This window comes from Homo sapiens, chromosome 17 (assembly GCF_000001405.40).
Source record: "Homo sapiens chromosome 17, GRCh38.p14 Primary Assembly".
Lineage (NCBI taxonomy): Eukaryota > Metazoa > Chordata > Mammalia > Primates > Hominidae > Homo > Homo sapiens.
Genome location: NC_000017.11, coordinates 79,788,811 through 79,803,217, shown reverse-complemented (window position 1 = coordinate 79,803,217; position 14,407 = coordinate 79,788,811). Strand labels below are relative to the sequence as shown.

Sequence of the window (14,407 nt, the reverse complement as noted above, 5' to 3'; positions counted from 1 at the left end):
TAGGCCGCTCACTTGTCCCGGGCTGCTCTGCCGCCACACCCTGCCGGCCTCCCCTCGCCTCTCGCAGTCCCCGCCCCTGGCTGTGCCTAGTCCGTCCCGTCTGAGCCCCTTCTCCCCAGACCGTGAGAACTGAGCGCCCAGACCCAAGGACTCCCGGACTCCTTCCAGGTTGCGGTTGTCCGGCCCAACTCTGGACCGCCTCTTTCTGCTCCCCAAGGGCGCCTGGGGCTCCTAGGAATGGGTCTCACAAGCAGCACCAGCGAGCAGTCCGGGGATTGGGTGTGCGTGTGATGGGGGGGCGCGTGGGGGGGGGGCGGAAATGGGGCCGGCCCGCGGCGCGCATGCGTGCTGGTTCGGGCGCTGTGCGCGTGCTCCAGCGGCACCGCACCCTCAGCTCGCCCGGCCTCGGCGCTCCGAGGGGACGCCGGCGCGTTTTCCCAGCGAGCCCACGTGGCCCAACCGGTCCAGATGCCCAAGGAATGAATCAAAACTGCCTCTAAGCAGCATACGGTCCGTTTCCCAGGGAAGGATGGGTGTGTGCTGAGCACCCTCTCTGGGCTTGCCCCTCATGGAGAAGAAGGGACAGCCGAGGCTGATACTGGAGTTCCTGGGGAAAGTCAGAACAGAATCACTAGGTCCTATGAGTTTGTTCTGGTCTCAGAACACCAATAACAGCAACAACAGTAACTAATAATGAACATTTATTGAGCATTTGCCTGTGCCTGACAGTGTGGGGGTGCTTCCATATCTCATTGAACCCCCCATGGGCTCTGTTGGGAAAACGTGCTAATATTCCTTTTCTTATAGTTATGGAAGCTGAAACACAGAGAGGTTAAGTAACTTGCACAAGGGCACACAGCCAGCAAGTGCATTGGAACCCAGGCAGGCTGGCCCCAGAGCCCACCTTTTTTAGCCACTGTGCTCTAGCATTAAAAAAAAAAAAAAGCGAAAACGCCCACCAACATCCAGCTTCCAGTTGACTTAAATCGGCCCCTAGAACTCCCTCCTGTCTCTATTGTTCCAGTCTCATCCTTGTTGCCGAGGGCTCTGAGGGTCCTCCTGCTGGAGCACTGCTCTGCGCTTCCACGAGGCTCCACTGGACCTTTCTTGAATTCTTTCCTCAAGCCTTGGAGGAGCTGAAATTCACAAGGATCCAAAGCCCCTGCTGCGGAGCTTTAGGGACGTGAGCTTACGGCTTCTCAGGCAGAACCCCTGCTGCGTGCCCCTGAGCAAGTGACTTGGCCCCGCGGTGCCTCGCTTTCCTCATCTAGAAAATGGGGGTAAGGGAACTGATGTTACCTGGCTGTTGTGAATGTTAACTGGGATAACGCAGGCCCTAGATATAGGGCAACTAGTTAAGCAATAGATGTTGCTTAACTCTGAGGGGATATTTTCTTCCTGTGGAGGGGAAGAAAGGGGGCCTGATTTCAGTTTCCGGGGTTTAAGGCAGAAATGTGGCTTCTAGAATGTGTGCAGCCTTGTGGGAGATTCCTGTAGAGTGGGCAGCCCCTTCTTATCCTTTGCAGCCTGTTCCAGTGCTTCTCTAACAAGGAGGATGTGTGGATGTCTCCTAGGGAGGAGAAAGTGGGACAGGAAAGGTGGGAGCTTCTTGCTCTTGGGAACAACTAGCGGCGGGAACCAAGGCCAGAAACCTGGACAACCTCACTTCCAGTCACCCAGGCTGGGCCTTGGGACCAGTTTCCAGAATGTCGGGTCACCCTGCGGCATTCCCGCAGCAGGCGGCAGGCGCCCAGCCCTAGCTCGGCGTCTAGGAAGCAGCGCTGCGGGACGCCCGCCCGGCTCCGGGACCGCGGGAGGTAAGCCACTGGCCACAAGGCCACGCCTCGGAGCCGCCCGCGCTCATTTCACTGCCGGCCCGCCCGAGGCAAACGGTTGGCTTCCAAATCTGCCCGCGTCCGCGGCCAAGACCGGGCAGGTCCGACGCCCGCCAAGCCGCGAAGTTGAAACGCTCCCAAAGAACCGGGCCGGCCTCATCCTCAAGCTAGAGGACGCGCTAGGGCTTGCCGGCCTGGCCCAAGACCCAGGAGCCCAGCGCCCCGCTGGGGCCCGTCCGCCCCTCTCCTTGGAGTGCTCCAGCCTCCACCCTCCCTCCCGGAGGACGAGTCCGTGGTCCGCGGGCCCAGGGAGGCCTAAGAGGGCCCCCAAACTCCGGGCTCTCAGGAGGCTGCAGCATCGAGGGCAGAGTCCTGGCACCTTTTAGAGGCTGGGGCCAAGGGTAGGGCGGGCTCCCGGGAGCAGGTCGCAGACCCTTTGTCGGGAAGGGCAGTCGCGGGCCGTGCGCCCAGGTCGCCAGAAGAGTGCGGAACAGGGCCGGAGACCTAGGGGTTTGGGAAGCAGGTGTCCCTAGGAGGGCGGGCGCCCGCATTTCCGTAAACAAAGAAACGGGGCAGCTCATCTCAGGAGAGGGGGTGGCTGTTAAGAGAATCGCCGACAATTTCCTTCATAAAAATGCGATCTGAGAGCATTTGATTTCCACTTTCACTCCCCCCATCCCCCGCCCCAACACACGCACCGTCTCTAAAGACACTCAAATTGCAGCCATATGGGGCTAAAGTAATAGGAAGCAGTTACCTTATTTACTGCAGAGGCGGCGCACGCCAACCTGGCAGCCGCAGCCTGAGCAGCGGACCGCCGAGCAATGGGATTAAGAGTAGCGTGTCTTGTCTTTTACAACTTTGTTTTGTTTGCTCCTGGGACGTGTAGGTGGGAAAGGCAATTATCTAACTTTGAAACAGGAAAGCGGTTGTATGGAGAAAAGGGAGGTGGCGAGAATTGAGTCGGTTGGGGAAGGGGGTTGATAAGAAAGGTGGGGAGCAAGGATCCTCTTTCTGTGGGTTCCTAAGACCATGCCACCAGCTGACCTGTCCTCTCGGTCTGGATCTGACCCGGCTGGAATGACTGCAAACCTCCTCCCCCTCCACGCCCACGCATGCTAGCACCCTCTCCCGGAACACAGGGCTTCCTCCCGCGCCCACCCAGCCAGAGCCCGGGAGGTGGGCTCCCATTTCTCAGACCGCCACCTCCCGCTTTGTCTCCAAACTGTCGAGGAATGAGGTTGCCCGGTGACCTGTTTTCACACCCCCTGCAACGCTGCTCTCTCACGGGTTGGGGGGCAGGGGTTGCGCCAGGCAGGGATGAGACACACTCTGCCCCGTTGGGGATTGCCTTCCTTGGCGGGACTGAGCGCGTCTGCTACTGACAAGAGCCAGGCTCCCTGCCCTCAGATCATTCTATACCTCTTCCTTCCTTCTGAATCGAGTTCCACCTTTGCCACAAGCTTTGCAGGATTCCCCGACGTTTGCAAACTCAGACTTTTCGCAAGCGATAGTTTTGTTTAGAGCAAGCATTTCCGAAATAATCGCCATCAGGCACAAAGACAGGTGGAAAATTGGGTGGGGAAGCTAAGATAATTACCTAAGACCCTATCCAGAGGAGGGGGCCGCACCTGCCAGCATCAGGGGTTCCATTTCTTCAAGTTTCAGAGGTATTTAGGCAAAGAAGGGAGAATGGGGCAGAAAGAGAGGGAGACGGAAGGAAGGAAGGATGGGAGGAAGGAAGGGAGGAAGAAGGAAGGAAGGAAGGAAAATGGAAAGAACGCATGGAGGAACGACTACAGCTATCTTTTTTGGGGAGAAACTGAAACCATCGCCCTCTGCACGCCTAGCGCAAACCCCATGATCAGTAAAGGCATCAAGGGCAAGCACAACTCCGGGAAGCGGGTTCCAGAAACCCTATCTGAAGGAAAATCACCGCTCTTCGCGGGTGCGGGAGAGCTTGCCAGGGGTGGGGGTAGGGCGCGAGGCCAGGCGGGTCAGGTCCCCCCGGCCCACTCTGGGAAGGCCCCCTCCCTCCCACTTCCACAGTGGCCCTGGAGCCAGCTCGAGGGGCTGAGGCGGCCGGTGCGGGGCTGGGGCGCTGTTGTCCTTGGCGGGCAGCGGATTCCAAGAGGAGGCGGGCGGGACAGGCAGAGGGACCCGGGCCCAGGGCGGAGGGTGGGCTTTCTCTGGGCGGGGAAACCAGACACTTACAGGCGGCTGAGGCCGACTTTATTTTTACTGCCCAAACTGTTGGAAAGTATTTAAGCTTAAACAGAAACAGCTGTATCGCTGGCACCGGCCGACGAAACTATTTGTTACCGGGAATGACTTTTTATGATTAAGGACGCGGCCGTCGGCGGCCTCCCACGGGCGGCCCGCGAGGGTCACTGGGAGATCTGAGCGTCCTCGACGCGCTGTTCGTTCAGACAGAACGGCCGGAGAGATGGGACTGTTCGACAAGCGGCCACCTTGTGAAGTTTAGGAACAAGGCCAAAACCTGAAACCCGTGTTTCCAGAGGCTGGGGCACGACTGGGAGGGAAGATGGGCGAAGCGCCCCGCTTGCCCGGCGGGTCGAGGACCTCGCGGCTGCCGCCGCCTGCGCGCGCCTCACTTTGGACAGGAGGCCAGTTTTCCGCTCTGGGCTTCCTGCCCCTCCGTGTCAGACTCCTTGGCTGCTTCTCTCTCTCTTCCTATCGTTCTCTCTCTGCCTCTCTCTTTTCCCCCCCTCTTTCTCCACCCCATCTCTGGCCAAGGGAAACTGCTTGCAGTCAGGCTGATCATCGATGTTTGAACTAAATCGTGGGTTCCAAGGAGTGGGAGTTGTGATTTGGAGCTTGAGCAATAAGAGAACAGGGTGGGAGGGAGCTGGGCCCAGAGTGAGGCTGCTGTCCCCAGCGCCGCCCCCGCCACGGGTCACCGGTAGCCTAGCTGGCGGCAGGGTCGGCGGTGCACGTGCTTGTGTGCGCACGGCAAGGCGGTCGCGGCCGGCCCTTGTCCCTTTCCAGGAGCCCGCCATCTTCGCGCGTGAGACCCTCTCGCCCAGCCCGCACTGGACCCGGCGACGTCCCCCAGCTTCCCGCGCTGGCGTTTCTCGCAGGATGTCCGCCGCCCACGTTGGGAAGAGCGGTGGACAGGAAGTGCGCGGGCCGGGCGCCGGGGTTCGGGGAAAGCCAGACGCACCCCCAGCCGCTCGCCCCATCCTCTGCCGGCTCCGCCCAGATGCCCTTAGCCCACCCAGGCCCCGAGCAGGGGGCGGCGAGGGGAAGGCGAGGTTCGGGGCCGAAGCCTGGCGGGGGCGGGCAGCTTGGGCTAAGGGCAGGGGCAGGTGGCTGCGGGCGTCGGGGATGGTCGGGGGGCAGGAAGAAGCCGCGCGACATCCTCTGTGGGGTCCTGGGCTGCAGCCGGGCTCCGGAGGGAACAGCCCGGCCTCCACCAGGTCTGTGTTCGGCTTCGGAGCCGGGGACGAGCGCTCCAGCCAGCCCGGCTCGCAGGGCCCGGAGGGTGGCCGAGGGCAGGGCCGCGCGACAGGAGCCTGAGACACATGCACATTGATTTGTTAGCGGGACCCGGCTTGGGGGGGGGGGGGACGTTGCCATGGAGACCGGGGGTCGGGTGTGCGGCTCCGGGGGAGGGGGGCGGGGGCCGGGGGAGAAGCCAGCCGATGGGCGCGCCGCAGGCTCTCGGGGTTCGGGCGCGGCCCGCGGCGCCCCAGCACCTGTGCATTGTGCATTGTGCGGCGCGGGCGGCTGGGGGAGGGGACCGCGCGAGTCCTGGGCGGTGGGGGTGGGGCGGCGGGCCGGGGTCTGCCGAGGGGCGGAGCCGGGCTGACATCGCCGCGGGGATCCCAGCGAGAGCTGTGGGGGACGCCGAACGCCGGAGGGACAACTTGGTGGCGGGGGAGGGGGGCCCCGGCGAGGACAGAGGGCGGCCTGCCCCCCTCGCCAGCCCCGCAGACTGACAGCGGCCGGGCCCGCCTTCCCCTGGCGTCACTTCCGGCGGCGCCCCCTCCCACTCGCGCGCTCGGTCTCTGGAGTCGCCTCGGACTCCGCCCCCTGGCGATTGGAACGCTGGTCACGTAGCAACGCGGGGGAGAAAGGCAGAGGGGCGTGGCTCGGAGCTCGTCCAATCAGCGTGCGGGGGCGCAGGCCTCCGGCCGCTCGGCTTTAGCAACGTCGTTAGCAACACGTGGGGCGGGAGGAAGCACTGGGCGGAGGGGAGGGGGCCGAGCGGAGGAGCGCGGGAGGGGGGCCGCGGGAGGGAGCGAGAGCGCCGGGAGGGGGAGGAGAACTGACGTCAGCGGGAGAGTATTATGGTCTGTCGTGCGCTGGCTGCTGCTTTTCTGCTCCTGGAAGCGGCCAAGGGGGGAAGCGGCGAGTCAACATGGAGCTTTCAGCGGTGGGGGAGCGGGTGTTCGCGGCCGAAGCCCTCCTGAAGCGGCGCATACGGAAAGTAGGTGCCCCCGGGCCTAGGGCCTCCGTGCGGCCGGGCCCTCCCCTCCCGGCCCGGGTTCCCTCCCCCTGCTGCAGCCCAGCTTCCCTTCCCCCAGGTCCCAGCAGCGGCCGCGGCCGTGGCGGCGGCGGCGGCGGCAGCTCTGAGCCCAGGCGCTTTCCTTAGACTTGCAGCGATGCACGGATTGCATGGGTGGGGGGCGGGGTGGGGAATGAATGCCGGTGCATGCACTTTGTGCAGCATTAGGTGCAGGGGTGATGCAGCGGGCGCGTGCCTTTTGCGGCGGGGTTTCGAGCATTCATCTGGTGCATGCATTTTCGCATGCATTTCTTGTATCCTCGTCATGCGTTTCTCCCCATGCACACACATTATCGCCTTTGCACCCGCAGGGACGCATGGAATACCTCGTGAAATGGAAGGGATGGTCGCAGAAGTAAGTAGGTTATATGCAATTCTCAACCCCAGACTGTTATTCGGGAGGTTTCTTTCTTCCTCTTTTTGCCTTTACATTGAAATACAATACAATGCAATGAGAAAAGTTACACACACACACACCCCCTCTGCTCTCACCCTGCTCCTGGGACTGATGCCCACTTCTTCCTGATTCCCTTTAGGTACAGCACATGGGAACCGGAGGAAAACATCCTGGATGCTCGCTTGCTCGCAGCCTTTGAGGAAAGGTACAGACCCTTCCAAGTCCCAGCCGCTCACTTAGAAACAAGTAGAGTGGCTTCTTTCCAGCCTGGACTAGAGTCCCACTTGCTTTCTTTACTCACGCACCCTTTCTCCTTTTCTTCTTTCTCCAGGGAAAGAGAGATGGAGCTCTATGGCCCCAAAAAGCGTGGACCCAAGCCCAAAACCTTCCTCCTCAAAGTAGGTTGGCAGTGTCCAATGGTGGAGGACCATGTTATGGAGTGATTTGTGGGAAGGGGGCTCTGAGGGCTGTGAGCCAATGGGGTGTCCACACATGTTGCCTATTTGTAATGTAGGAGGGAGTTCCCTGACAAGATGTCACCAAGTCAGTAGCAGCACCAACTGTGTCTGGGGGGACGGGCTTGGCCACACTAGAATTCCTTTACGCTCCCCCTCCCAAATGGACACAATAATCAAATGCAAAAAGTGTACTTTTTGCAAATGACTACTTCCAGCCAAATCTTCTACCTCTTCTCTCATCCTTCTACCTCTCAGCTCCAACAGCCATCCCACCCATTCATCCAGCCATCCACCCACCCACCCACCCACCCATCCATGCATCCATGTAGAAATTCCCAGGCATCATAGGGTAAAGATAGGAGGTCAGGGATAGAGGAGGAGTCCTGTGGGGGTGGACAGGGCCCTGCCCCACTCTTGAGACCATCTTCTCTCCTGCAGGCGCAGGCCAAGGCAAAGGCCAAAACTTACGAGTTTCGAAGTGACTCAGCCAGGGGCATCCGGATCCCCTACCCTGGCCGCTCGCCCCAGGACCTGGCCTCCACTTCCCGGGCCCGGGAGGGCCTTCGAAACATGGGTTTGTCCCCGCCAGCGAGCAGCACCAGCACCAGCAGCACCTGCCGCGCAGAGGCCCCTCGGGACCGGGACCGAGACCGGGATAGGGACCGGGAGCGGGATCGAGAAAGGGAGAGGGAGCGAGAGAGGGAGCGGGAACGTGAGAGGGAACGAGAGCGGGGTACCAGCAGAGTGGATGACAAGCCCAGCTCACCGGGGGACAGCTCGAAGAAGCGAGGCCCCAAGCCCCGGAAGGAGCTCCCGGACCCCTCACAGAGGCCCTTAGGCGAACCCAGCGCCGGCCTCGGAGAGTACCTCAAGGGCAGGAAGCTGGACGACACCCCTTCCGGGGCAGGAAAGTTTCCAGCCGGCCACAGTGTGATCCAGCTGGCCCGAAGACAGGACTCGGACCTGGTGCAGTGTGGTGTGACCAGCCCTAGCTCAGCTGAGGCCACGGGCAAACTGGCTGTGGACACCTTCCCGGCCAGGGTGATAAAGCACAGGGCTGCCTTCCTGGAGGCCAAAGGCCAGGGTGCCCTAGATCCCAATGGCACCCGGGTCCGACATGGCTCAGGCCCCCCCAGCTCTGGGGGGGGCCTGTACCGGGACATGGGGGCCCAGGGGGGAAGGCCCTCCCTCATCGCCAGGATCCCTGTGGCCAGAATCCTGGGGGACCCGGAGGAAGAGTCCTGGAGCCCCTCCCTGACTAACCTGGAGAAGGTGGTGGTCACGGACGTGACCTCAAACTTTTTGACCGTCACCATTAAGGAAAGTAACACGGACCAAGGCTTTTTTAAAGAGAAAAGATGAATGCTGGGTGGGTGTGTCCAGGAGGAGAGCAGGGGAGAGAGTGAGCGTGAGCTTGGCATAGTGATTTTTATTTCTGGGTGGGATGTGGCCTTTTGGCTGGTCCCGTCCCTGATGTCACCCCCACCCCACCAGCCCCTTTCATCCCTCCTTCCTCCCCCTCAGTTTTTGTTGGAAAGATTATCTCTAGAGTTATATTTTCTATTAGATGTAAATATGTTATTTAAGAAAAATATCTAAATATATATATTTCAACTCGAAGTTGTTTTATTTAAAGGAGAGAGACTCTCATTGTGCTTTAGTTGGGGCAGCCCGAATGAGCTGGGGCAGGAGGGGCCCCCTTGCCCCAGAGCTCTAGGGAAGTTGGGCCCTGGGTACAGGTTTCTGAGAGTGTCTGGAGGGGCTTGGCCTGCCCACCTCACCCCTCCTCCCTTCTCCCACAGCCCAATGCCAGACTCCTGGCACCAAGGCCCGGCCCAGATTTGCTCTCTCTTCCCATTGGCCAGGCAGGCCAACAAAAGGTTGGCTCCCCAATCAGAAAAAAGGGGGGGTGGGGTCAGTCTGTTTTCCTTTTTTCTATTTTTTTTTTTTTAAGGTAAAGAAGTCTATTAGGGAAAAAAGTATTAACTTGAATAAGCTTTTCGTGTGTGATGTTGAAGGTTAAAACGTCCCCAGCAGGCAGGGACAGGAGGTTTCTCCCCAGGACCACACCAGGAAATGCACTTTAGGGAGGGGTGTGTGTGTGGTACACGCAGATCGTGTGTATGTCATGTGGATAAAATCTCCCCGTTCCCTCGTTCCTTTCCTTACTCCGCAGAAAGAAAAGAAATCCAGCGAATCTGTTTACATTCCCGAAATGCCAGGATAAATTGGGAGGATTGCGTGTCAGTGCTGAGAGTTCGAGACAGTTGTTTTGCAAGAAAAGTGTTGGGGTGGACTTTTCCTTTTCGCGTCCTCTAGCTTTGCCAGGAGAAGAGACGGTGGCCCCCACCTCCCAGGAAGAGTTGGACAAGCCTCCCTGCCTGGGGAGGGCGGGCCGCCAGCTCTGTGGTGGACACATGGCCAGACAGGCCCACCCTGCGGGACCCACGGAGGGAGGCGCGGCGGCGGGCGCTGCTAGGAGCAGTGGCTTCGCACCCAGGGCCTCTCCACGGCCAGGCTTGGAGTGTGGCTGAGGACCACGGCTCGGAGCTCGGAGCTGGGGCTAGACTCACCCCCGCGGCTCCGGCCGGGCACGGGAAGGAGGGGCGAGGCGGGGTTTTCATCCAAGAATGCGCATCGGAACTTTTGCTTTTTCCTTTTTTTTCCCCCGTCCTTCTTAAAAGCAAAAGCTATAATTTATAGGTCTTTTCGATTCGCAGTGTTCTCTATTTGAACTCGACATTCAAACTCCGCCAAAGGGGGAGGGAGGAGCGGGAGTTGGGAGTGGGGACGGCCGCGGCGGGGAAGGCCGTGCGAGGCGGCGGGGCCTGGGACGCCCCTGCCCGGCGGACTTGACCGCTCTGCGCTCCGAGGACGCAGAATGCGCGCCCCTCTTTTGACTCAAAAGCACAAATCAGTCCCCTCCACTCCACCCCCGTCTCTTGGAGCACGGATCCCGCAGCCTCCCTGCCCTCCCCGCCCTTAAAGGGCCAGCGAAGATCTAACTTCCCATTGCTTGTTGAGGGAGGGGCGCGGGGGCCCTGCACGCCAGAGGAAGCACAGACTCGGGGGGAGCGAGGCGGGGAGTCGGGGGTGGGGGAGCTTCGCGTGGGGTGGGGGGTGCTGGGAGGGAACCCCAGCCTCGTCCTCCGCACTCCCGGCTTCTCAGCCTCTCCTCCAGACTTTCTTGCCTTTAAAGAGAGAAAAGGAGGGAAACGGTGTACTACATGATTGTGTTTGTTTTTGAATATCAAATTGCGCCTATAAAGAGAAGCCCCTGGAATGGGGATTTTTATCTACTCACATTTGTAAAACTGGTATTTTAGACTTTGTATAAAGAAGCGCCGTTGACCGAGTGTATCTATTTAAATGTCGATGCTATTTTCAGATGAAACTTCACTGAAGGGGCATGTCTGTTACCTAGTGGACGGGACTGGGGGATACGCGTCTTCACCTGGCCGCCGCCTTCCCTTCTCTCCCGCCTGTCCTTTACTCCCACCTCCCTCCCTTCCTGGGGGCTGACTTTGCCCCTTCCCTTGGACCTTCTTTCCAGCCAGCTCTGTCCCTGCCGCCCCTCCGTCCTGCTGTTTGTCCGTGGCCGTGTGTGTATGTGTCTCCTTCTCTCGCTCTTGCGACGCTGACCTGGGGGGTGGGTGGGCAGGGGCCGGGGGCCACGTGGCTGGGAGTCTGCAACCGCGCAGGGTGTGTGCGCTGTTGGGTTTATTTAATTCTAAGATTTGTACAAATCTCCAATCGATCTCCGCCTCAGCTCAAGAGTGAAGCTTCGGTACCTATCTTCTGCGGTCGTGAATGTCTGTATCCAATACCGCTTTTTACGTGTTTAAATATATACTTTGTAAATAGAGACATGTCTTGGTTTTATTCTTCTTTTTCCTTCCCTGAGCAAAGGGAAGAGGCATCCCGGGAGGAGAGGATCCGTCCCTCTTCTCTCAGTACTCATCCCGTCCTCCCGCCCCCATCCTCGCCCCCATCGCGGGGGCACCGTTCCTGCAAAGGCCCTTCCCCAACTGGGGAACCCACCTGGCTGGGATAGAGGTGGGCGTGGGAGGCCGCTGGGGCAGACTCCCCTCAGCCCGTCCGGGGGAATCCGTGGCTCTCCGCACCTACTGGCTGCACTTCTTCGGGCCCCGGGCAGAATCTGGGGATCCCGGGAGGATGCGCCTGAGGTCGGGGGTTCCACTTTCCTCTGGCGGGATCCTCCAGCGCGCCACACCCCCAGGCCGGAGGCGTCTGGTCTCCGAGGCCCCGGGGCCTCGCCGCGTTAGCCAAAGCCTCCCGGTGCCAGCCCCTCGTAGCTGTCTTGAGACCCACTCCCCAGACCCACCCAACCTTGCTAGCGCTCCCCTAAATGCAGAGCCTCGCGCCTATTGATTGAGGAATTGAATTCGCGGGTATTGCTAGGCAACTGCAAGCTCGGAGCCGGCGCAGAGCGCTGCTGATGTGATTAGTGAACCTGGAGCCGCCGCGCCGCAGCCCCGCGCACCCCCGCCCCCGAGTCCCCGCAGCCTCTCCGGCCCAGGTCTCCTGGGCGGGCCTAAACCCCAGCGCTGGGCAAGGGACGGTGCGGGAGAGCAGAGTGCGGGGTGGGGGGTGGAGAGAGAGATGTTCTTGGCCTTTTCTGGCCGCAGACTTCACAGCAGTGGGGGCGGGGTCTTGAAGCCCGCACAGGAGAGCCACTCTTCGGATCCCCAAAGAGGCCACCGCACTAAACCCATTTCTACTTCCGTAGTGCCCCGCAGACGTCACCCTGCCAGGAAGCCACGATTCAGGCTCACCCCTAACGCCCACCAGGAGGAACATGGACAGGGGTAGCTCACGCATCTCCAGCCCCTTGCTGAGGAGTCAGTGGCCCGGCCCTTGGCAGAGCTTCCCCCTTCCCCAGCTGTGACCGGTGTGGGAGGGCGCGGGAGGACAGCAGCGTCCTGCTGCCCAGGCCCAGGTTAGCGGGTCACAGAGCCTTGAGTGTCCTTCCGACGTGAGGGCCTGCGCTGCCGGCCGAGTAGGGTCGCTGGCCGCCAGGCGTCAAAGATCTCCGCCCGAGACTGCCCCACCGCAACGGGCGGTCTCTGTGCTGGCAGGGGACGTCAAGGGAAGGTGGGTGGGGTGGCCCCGCGATGGTCGCCACTTGGACGGGGCTCCCTCCTGCGTCCACTCGGACGGGGCTCCCTCCTGCGTCCACTCCTGGGCGTGTGGGGCAGTGGAATGGGCTACTGCTTAAGCGGATGGGAGGGCGCCCACCCTGCCCCTTTTTCGGGTTCGCTGGCCATCACCACCCTCGGCTTTGAGGAGCGCCCTCACGGGTTTCCATTTCCTGGGCAGAGTCCCTGGGAATCCGCCACAACTGCAGAGACCAGGCGTGCGTGGCGGCCTCCAGCCGGACTGGTTACCTTGCGTCCCGAGGACAGGGCTGGCTTGTGTGGCCACCGCGGCGGGGAACCTGGCCTCGCACAAACATTGGTTGGATTGGAAGGTTCATGCTCTTCCTAGAGTGTCGGATCGGATTCATTTTCTGTCCGTTTGATGCTGGCTTCGCACCAATCCTGATCCAGGCACTGTGCCATGCGCCCGGGCCGCTGGCGCACAGACCTGTCCCGGCCCTCTGGGGCTCCTGTGCTGGTTTCCTCTTCTCCTCTAAAAGCCCTCCAGGCCCAGAGGAGCCTCGGACCCAGCTGAAGTCCGAGACTGGCGTGGCTCGGGGCCCGGCGGGACTCCGTGCTGTCCGTCGTGGAAGGCGGCTGCCCGCAGCCTCGGGTCCTGAACGCGGCGAGAGAGGCTGCGGGCTGGGTCGGGGCTTTCCTCCTGAGACTTCGGAGGCGGAGGTGGCCGGGGTGCAGGTGGTGCGATTGAGTCTCGGGCACCCTGGAGCCGCGGCTGGCTTTTCCCTCGTCCGTCCGAAGGGCCGGCGGCCGACCTTGGTGGGACGCGCGCGCCCTCTGCAGGTGGCGGCGTCGGCCCGGGTCGCCGGCGCCCACCCCTTACCCCCGGGGGGCCGGTGGCTTTCTGGTTCCGAACCCGAGCTGAGAAAGCCTTACCTCCCCCCGACCCAAAGGTACCGCTGGGCGCCCACCGCCACGGGCGCCCCCTCTGCGTCCTCCCTGAGGCCCGGCGCTCGAGCCACGAAGGCGGAGGGGAGGAAGGAGAGGTCCAGCCGCCCGGATGACCGTCCTCCCAGCCCCTCCGCACCCATCGCTCCCGGTGCCCTCGGGCAGGTCGCGGCGGCGTGGGGTCGGGCCATTGGCAGCCCAGTCTGTTCTTCTCAGGGTCCACTGGATTAGGCGATCACATCAGCGGCGCCGAAACTAACAAAGGCCGAGCGAGCTCGGCCCGGCACCCGTCGGGCCGAATCCCTGTAGAAATGGGCTCTCCCGAAAGCCTGGCTCCACATCCGGGGCCGCGCCTGCTCCTGCTCGGCCAGCTTGCTCCTTCCTGGCGGTCCCAGCCCCTTTCTGCAGCTCTCATAAGCCAGAGGACAGGCCCGCTGGGGTCGCCCTTGCCCACTTTCTCCAAAAGGAAACAGCCAGAGCCTTGCGAAGGCAGCAAAAGAGAGCCCACCAGCAGTCTTCTTTCTCTGCAACAGTCGATTTCGAATTCGCAGGACTTCCTGGAGCGGGCTAGTGCTGGGGGTCACATTTCCATTTGCAGGGGGAACCCTTTCCTGAACCAAAACATTCAGGCCTTGGCCCCAAGTAGCTTTTCACCCAGTTACTCCAACATCTAGGCCCAGCTTCTCTCTTCACTTCAAAGAAGCTCTATTCTCCCTGGAGGCTGGAATTCATGAATAAATTCATGCTGAAGTTGGTGGAAGCCTTAAGGAGCCGGGGAAGGTTCTGTAATAAGCAAATCGCCTCTTTATTCGCGAGCTTTGGGTTAGGAGTTGCAGTAGCTGCTAACTCACAGTGACTCCCCTGGAATTTTATGGCTGCCTCCTTGTAAAGCATTATTAGCACATGTGGTGGCTTCAAGGGGTTGAGTGGCTTTCCAACACAGCATCTCTGGATACTGTGGGCGCGGGGAGAGGGAGTTTTATTTTAACTTTGCATGTCTTTTGAAGGGAGCAGTCTCAAAATGAGTTGATTATATATTGCAGCATCCCTGACCTCACCTGACAGATGCCGATAATGCCGCCCCTGCCCCCAACCCCTGCCATTGTGTTTTTTCTGTTTTT

At 60.9% G+C, this 14,407-nt stretch overlaps 1 protein-coding gene across 1 annotated transcript, besides 9 other annotated features; it reads left to right on the top strand.

The window, feature by feature from the left end:
- Positions 5,503–5,662: a silencer, noted in NCBI's record as "silent region_9087". NCBI's record gives its function as "represses an Ori minimal core promoter by ATAC-STARR-seq in GM12878 lymphoblastoid cells {active_cell/tissue: GM12878}" and the evidence as "EXISTENCE:reporter gene assay evidence [ECO:0000049][PMID:35858748]".
- Positions 5,693–5,902: a silencer, noted in NCBI's record as "silent region_9086". NCBI's record gives its function as "represses an Ori minimal core promoter by ATAC-STARR-seq in GM12878 lymphoblastoid cells {active_cell/tissue: GM12878}" and the evidence as "EXISTENCE:reporter gene assay evidence [ECO:0000049][PMID:35858748]".
- Positions 5,693–6,108: a biological region, named in NCBI's record as "Sharpr-MPRA regulatory region 5922".
- Positions 5,814–6,108: an enhancer, noted in NCBI's record as "tiled region #5922; HepG2 Activating DNase unmatched - State 1:Tss, and K562 Activating DNase unmatched - State 1:Tss". NCBI's record gives its function as "activates a minimal TATA promoter and a strong SV40 promoter by Sharpr-MPRA in HepG2 and K562 cells {active_cell/tissue: HepG2 | K562}" and the evidence as "EXISTENCE:reporter gene assay evidence [ECO:0000049][PMID:27701403]".
- Positions 6,063–6,442: a silencer, noted in NCBI's record as "silent region_9085". NCBI's record gives its function as "represses an Ori minimal core promoter by ATAC-STARR-seq in GM12878 lymphoblastoid cells {active_cell/tissue: GM12878}" and the evidence as "EXISTENCE:reporter gene assay evidence [ECO:0000049][PMID:35858748]".
- On the top strand, positions 6,141–11,086 carry CBX8 (chromobox 8). The gene is made up of 5 exons (NM_020649.3): positions 6,141–6,288; positions 6,678–6,721; positions 6,903–6,968; positions 7,095–7,161; positions 7,660–11,086. Exons 1-5 carry the CDS (start codon positions 6,220–6,222, stop codon positions 8,581–8,583), a joined length of 1,170 nt encoding a protein of 389 aa, NP_065700.1. The 5' UTR covers positions 6,141–6,219; the 3' UTR covers positions 8,584–11,086.
- Positions 7,356–8,096: an enhancer, noted in NCBI's record as "H3K27ac-H3K4me1 hESC enhancer chr17:77768921-77769661 (GRCh37/hg19 assembly coordinates)". NCBI's record gives its function as "activates a minimal SCP1, AML or CMV promoter by ChIP-STARR-seq in naive H9 embryonic stem cells {active_cell/tissue: H9 hESC(naive)}" and the evidence as "EXISTENCE:reporter gene assay evidence [ECO:0000049][PMID:30033119]".
- Positions 9,158–9,872: an enhancer, noted in NCBI's record as "H3K27ac-H3K4me1 hESC enhancer chr17:77767145-77767859 (GRCh37/hg19 assembly coordinates)". NCBI's record gives its function as "activates a minimal SCP1, AML or CMV promoter by ChIP-STARR-seq in naive H9 embryonic stem cells {active_cell/tissue: H9 hESC(naive)}" and the evidence as "EXISTENCE:reporter gene assay evidence [ECO:0000049][PMID:30033119]".
- Positions 11,641–12,450: an enhancer, noted in NCBI's record as "H3K27ac-H3K4me1 hESC enhancer chr17:77764567-77765376 (GRCh37/hg19 assembly coordinates)". NCBI's record gives its function as "activates a minimal SCP1, AML or CMV promoter by ChIP-STARR-seq in primed H9 embryonic stem cells {active_cell/tissue: H9 hESC(primed)}" and the evidence as "EXISTENCE:reporter gene assay evidence [ECO:0000049][PMID:30033119]".
- Positions 13,112–13,261: a silencer, noted in NCBI's record as "silent region_9084". NCBI's record gives its function as "represses an Ori minimal core promoter by ATAC-STARR-seq in GM12878 lymphoblastoid cells {active_cell/tissue: GM12878}" and the evidence as "EXISTENCE:reporter gene assay evidence [ECO:0000049][PMID:35858748]".

Excerpts from the sequence above, each read along its gene's own strand:
- CBX8 (NM_020649.3), top strand. The coding sequence starts at position 6,220 with ATGGAGCTTTCAGCGGTGGGGGAGCGGGTGTTCGCGGCCGAAGCCCTC. Across the intron at positions 6,289-6,677 it reads TGAAGCGGCGCATACGGAAA|GGACGCATGGAATACCTCGT; the intron begins GTAGGTGCCCCC and ends TTGCACCCGCAG. Across the intron at positions 7,162-7,659 it reads CCAAAACCTTCCTCCTCAAA|GCGCAGGCCAAGGCAAAGGC; the intron begins GTAGGTTGGCAG and ends TCTCTCCTGCAG.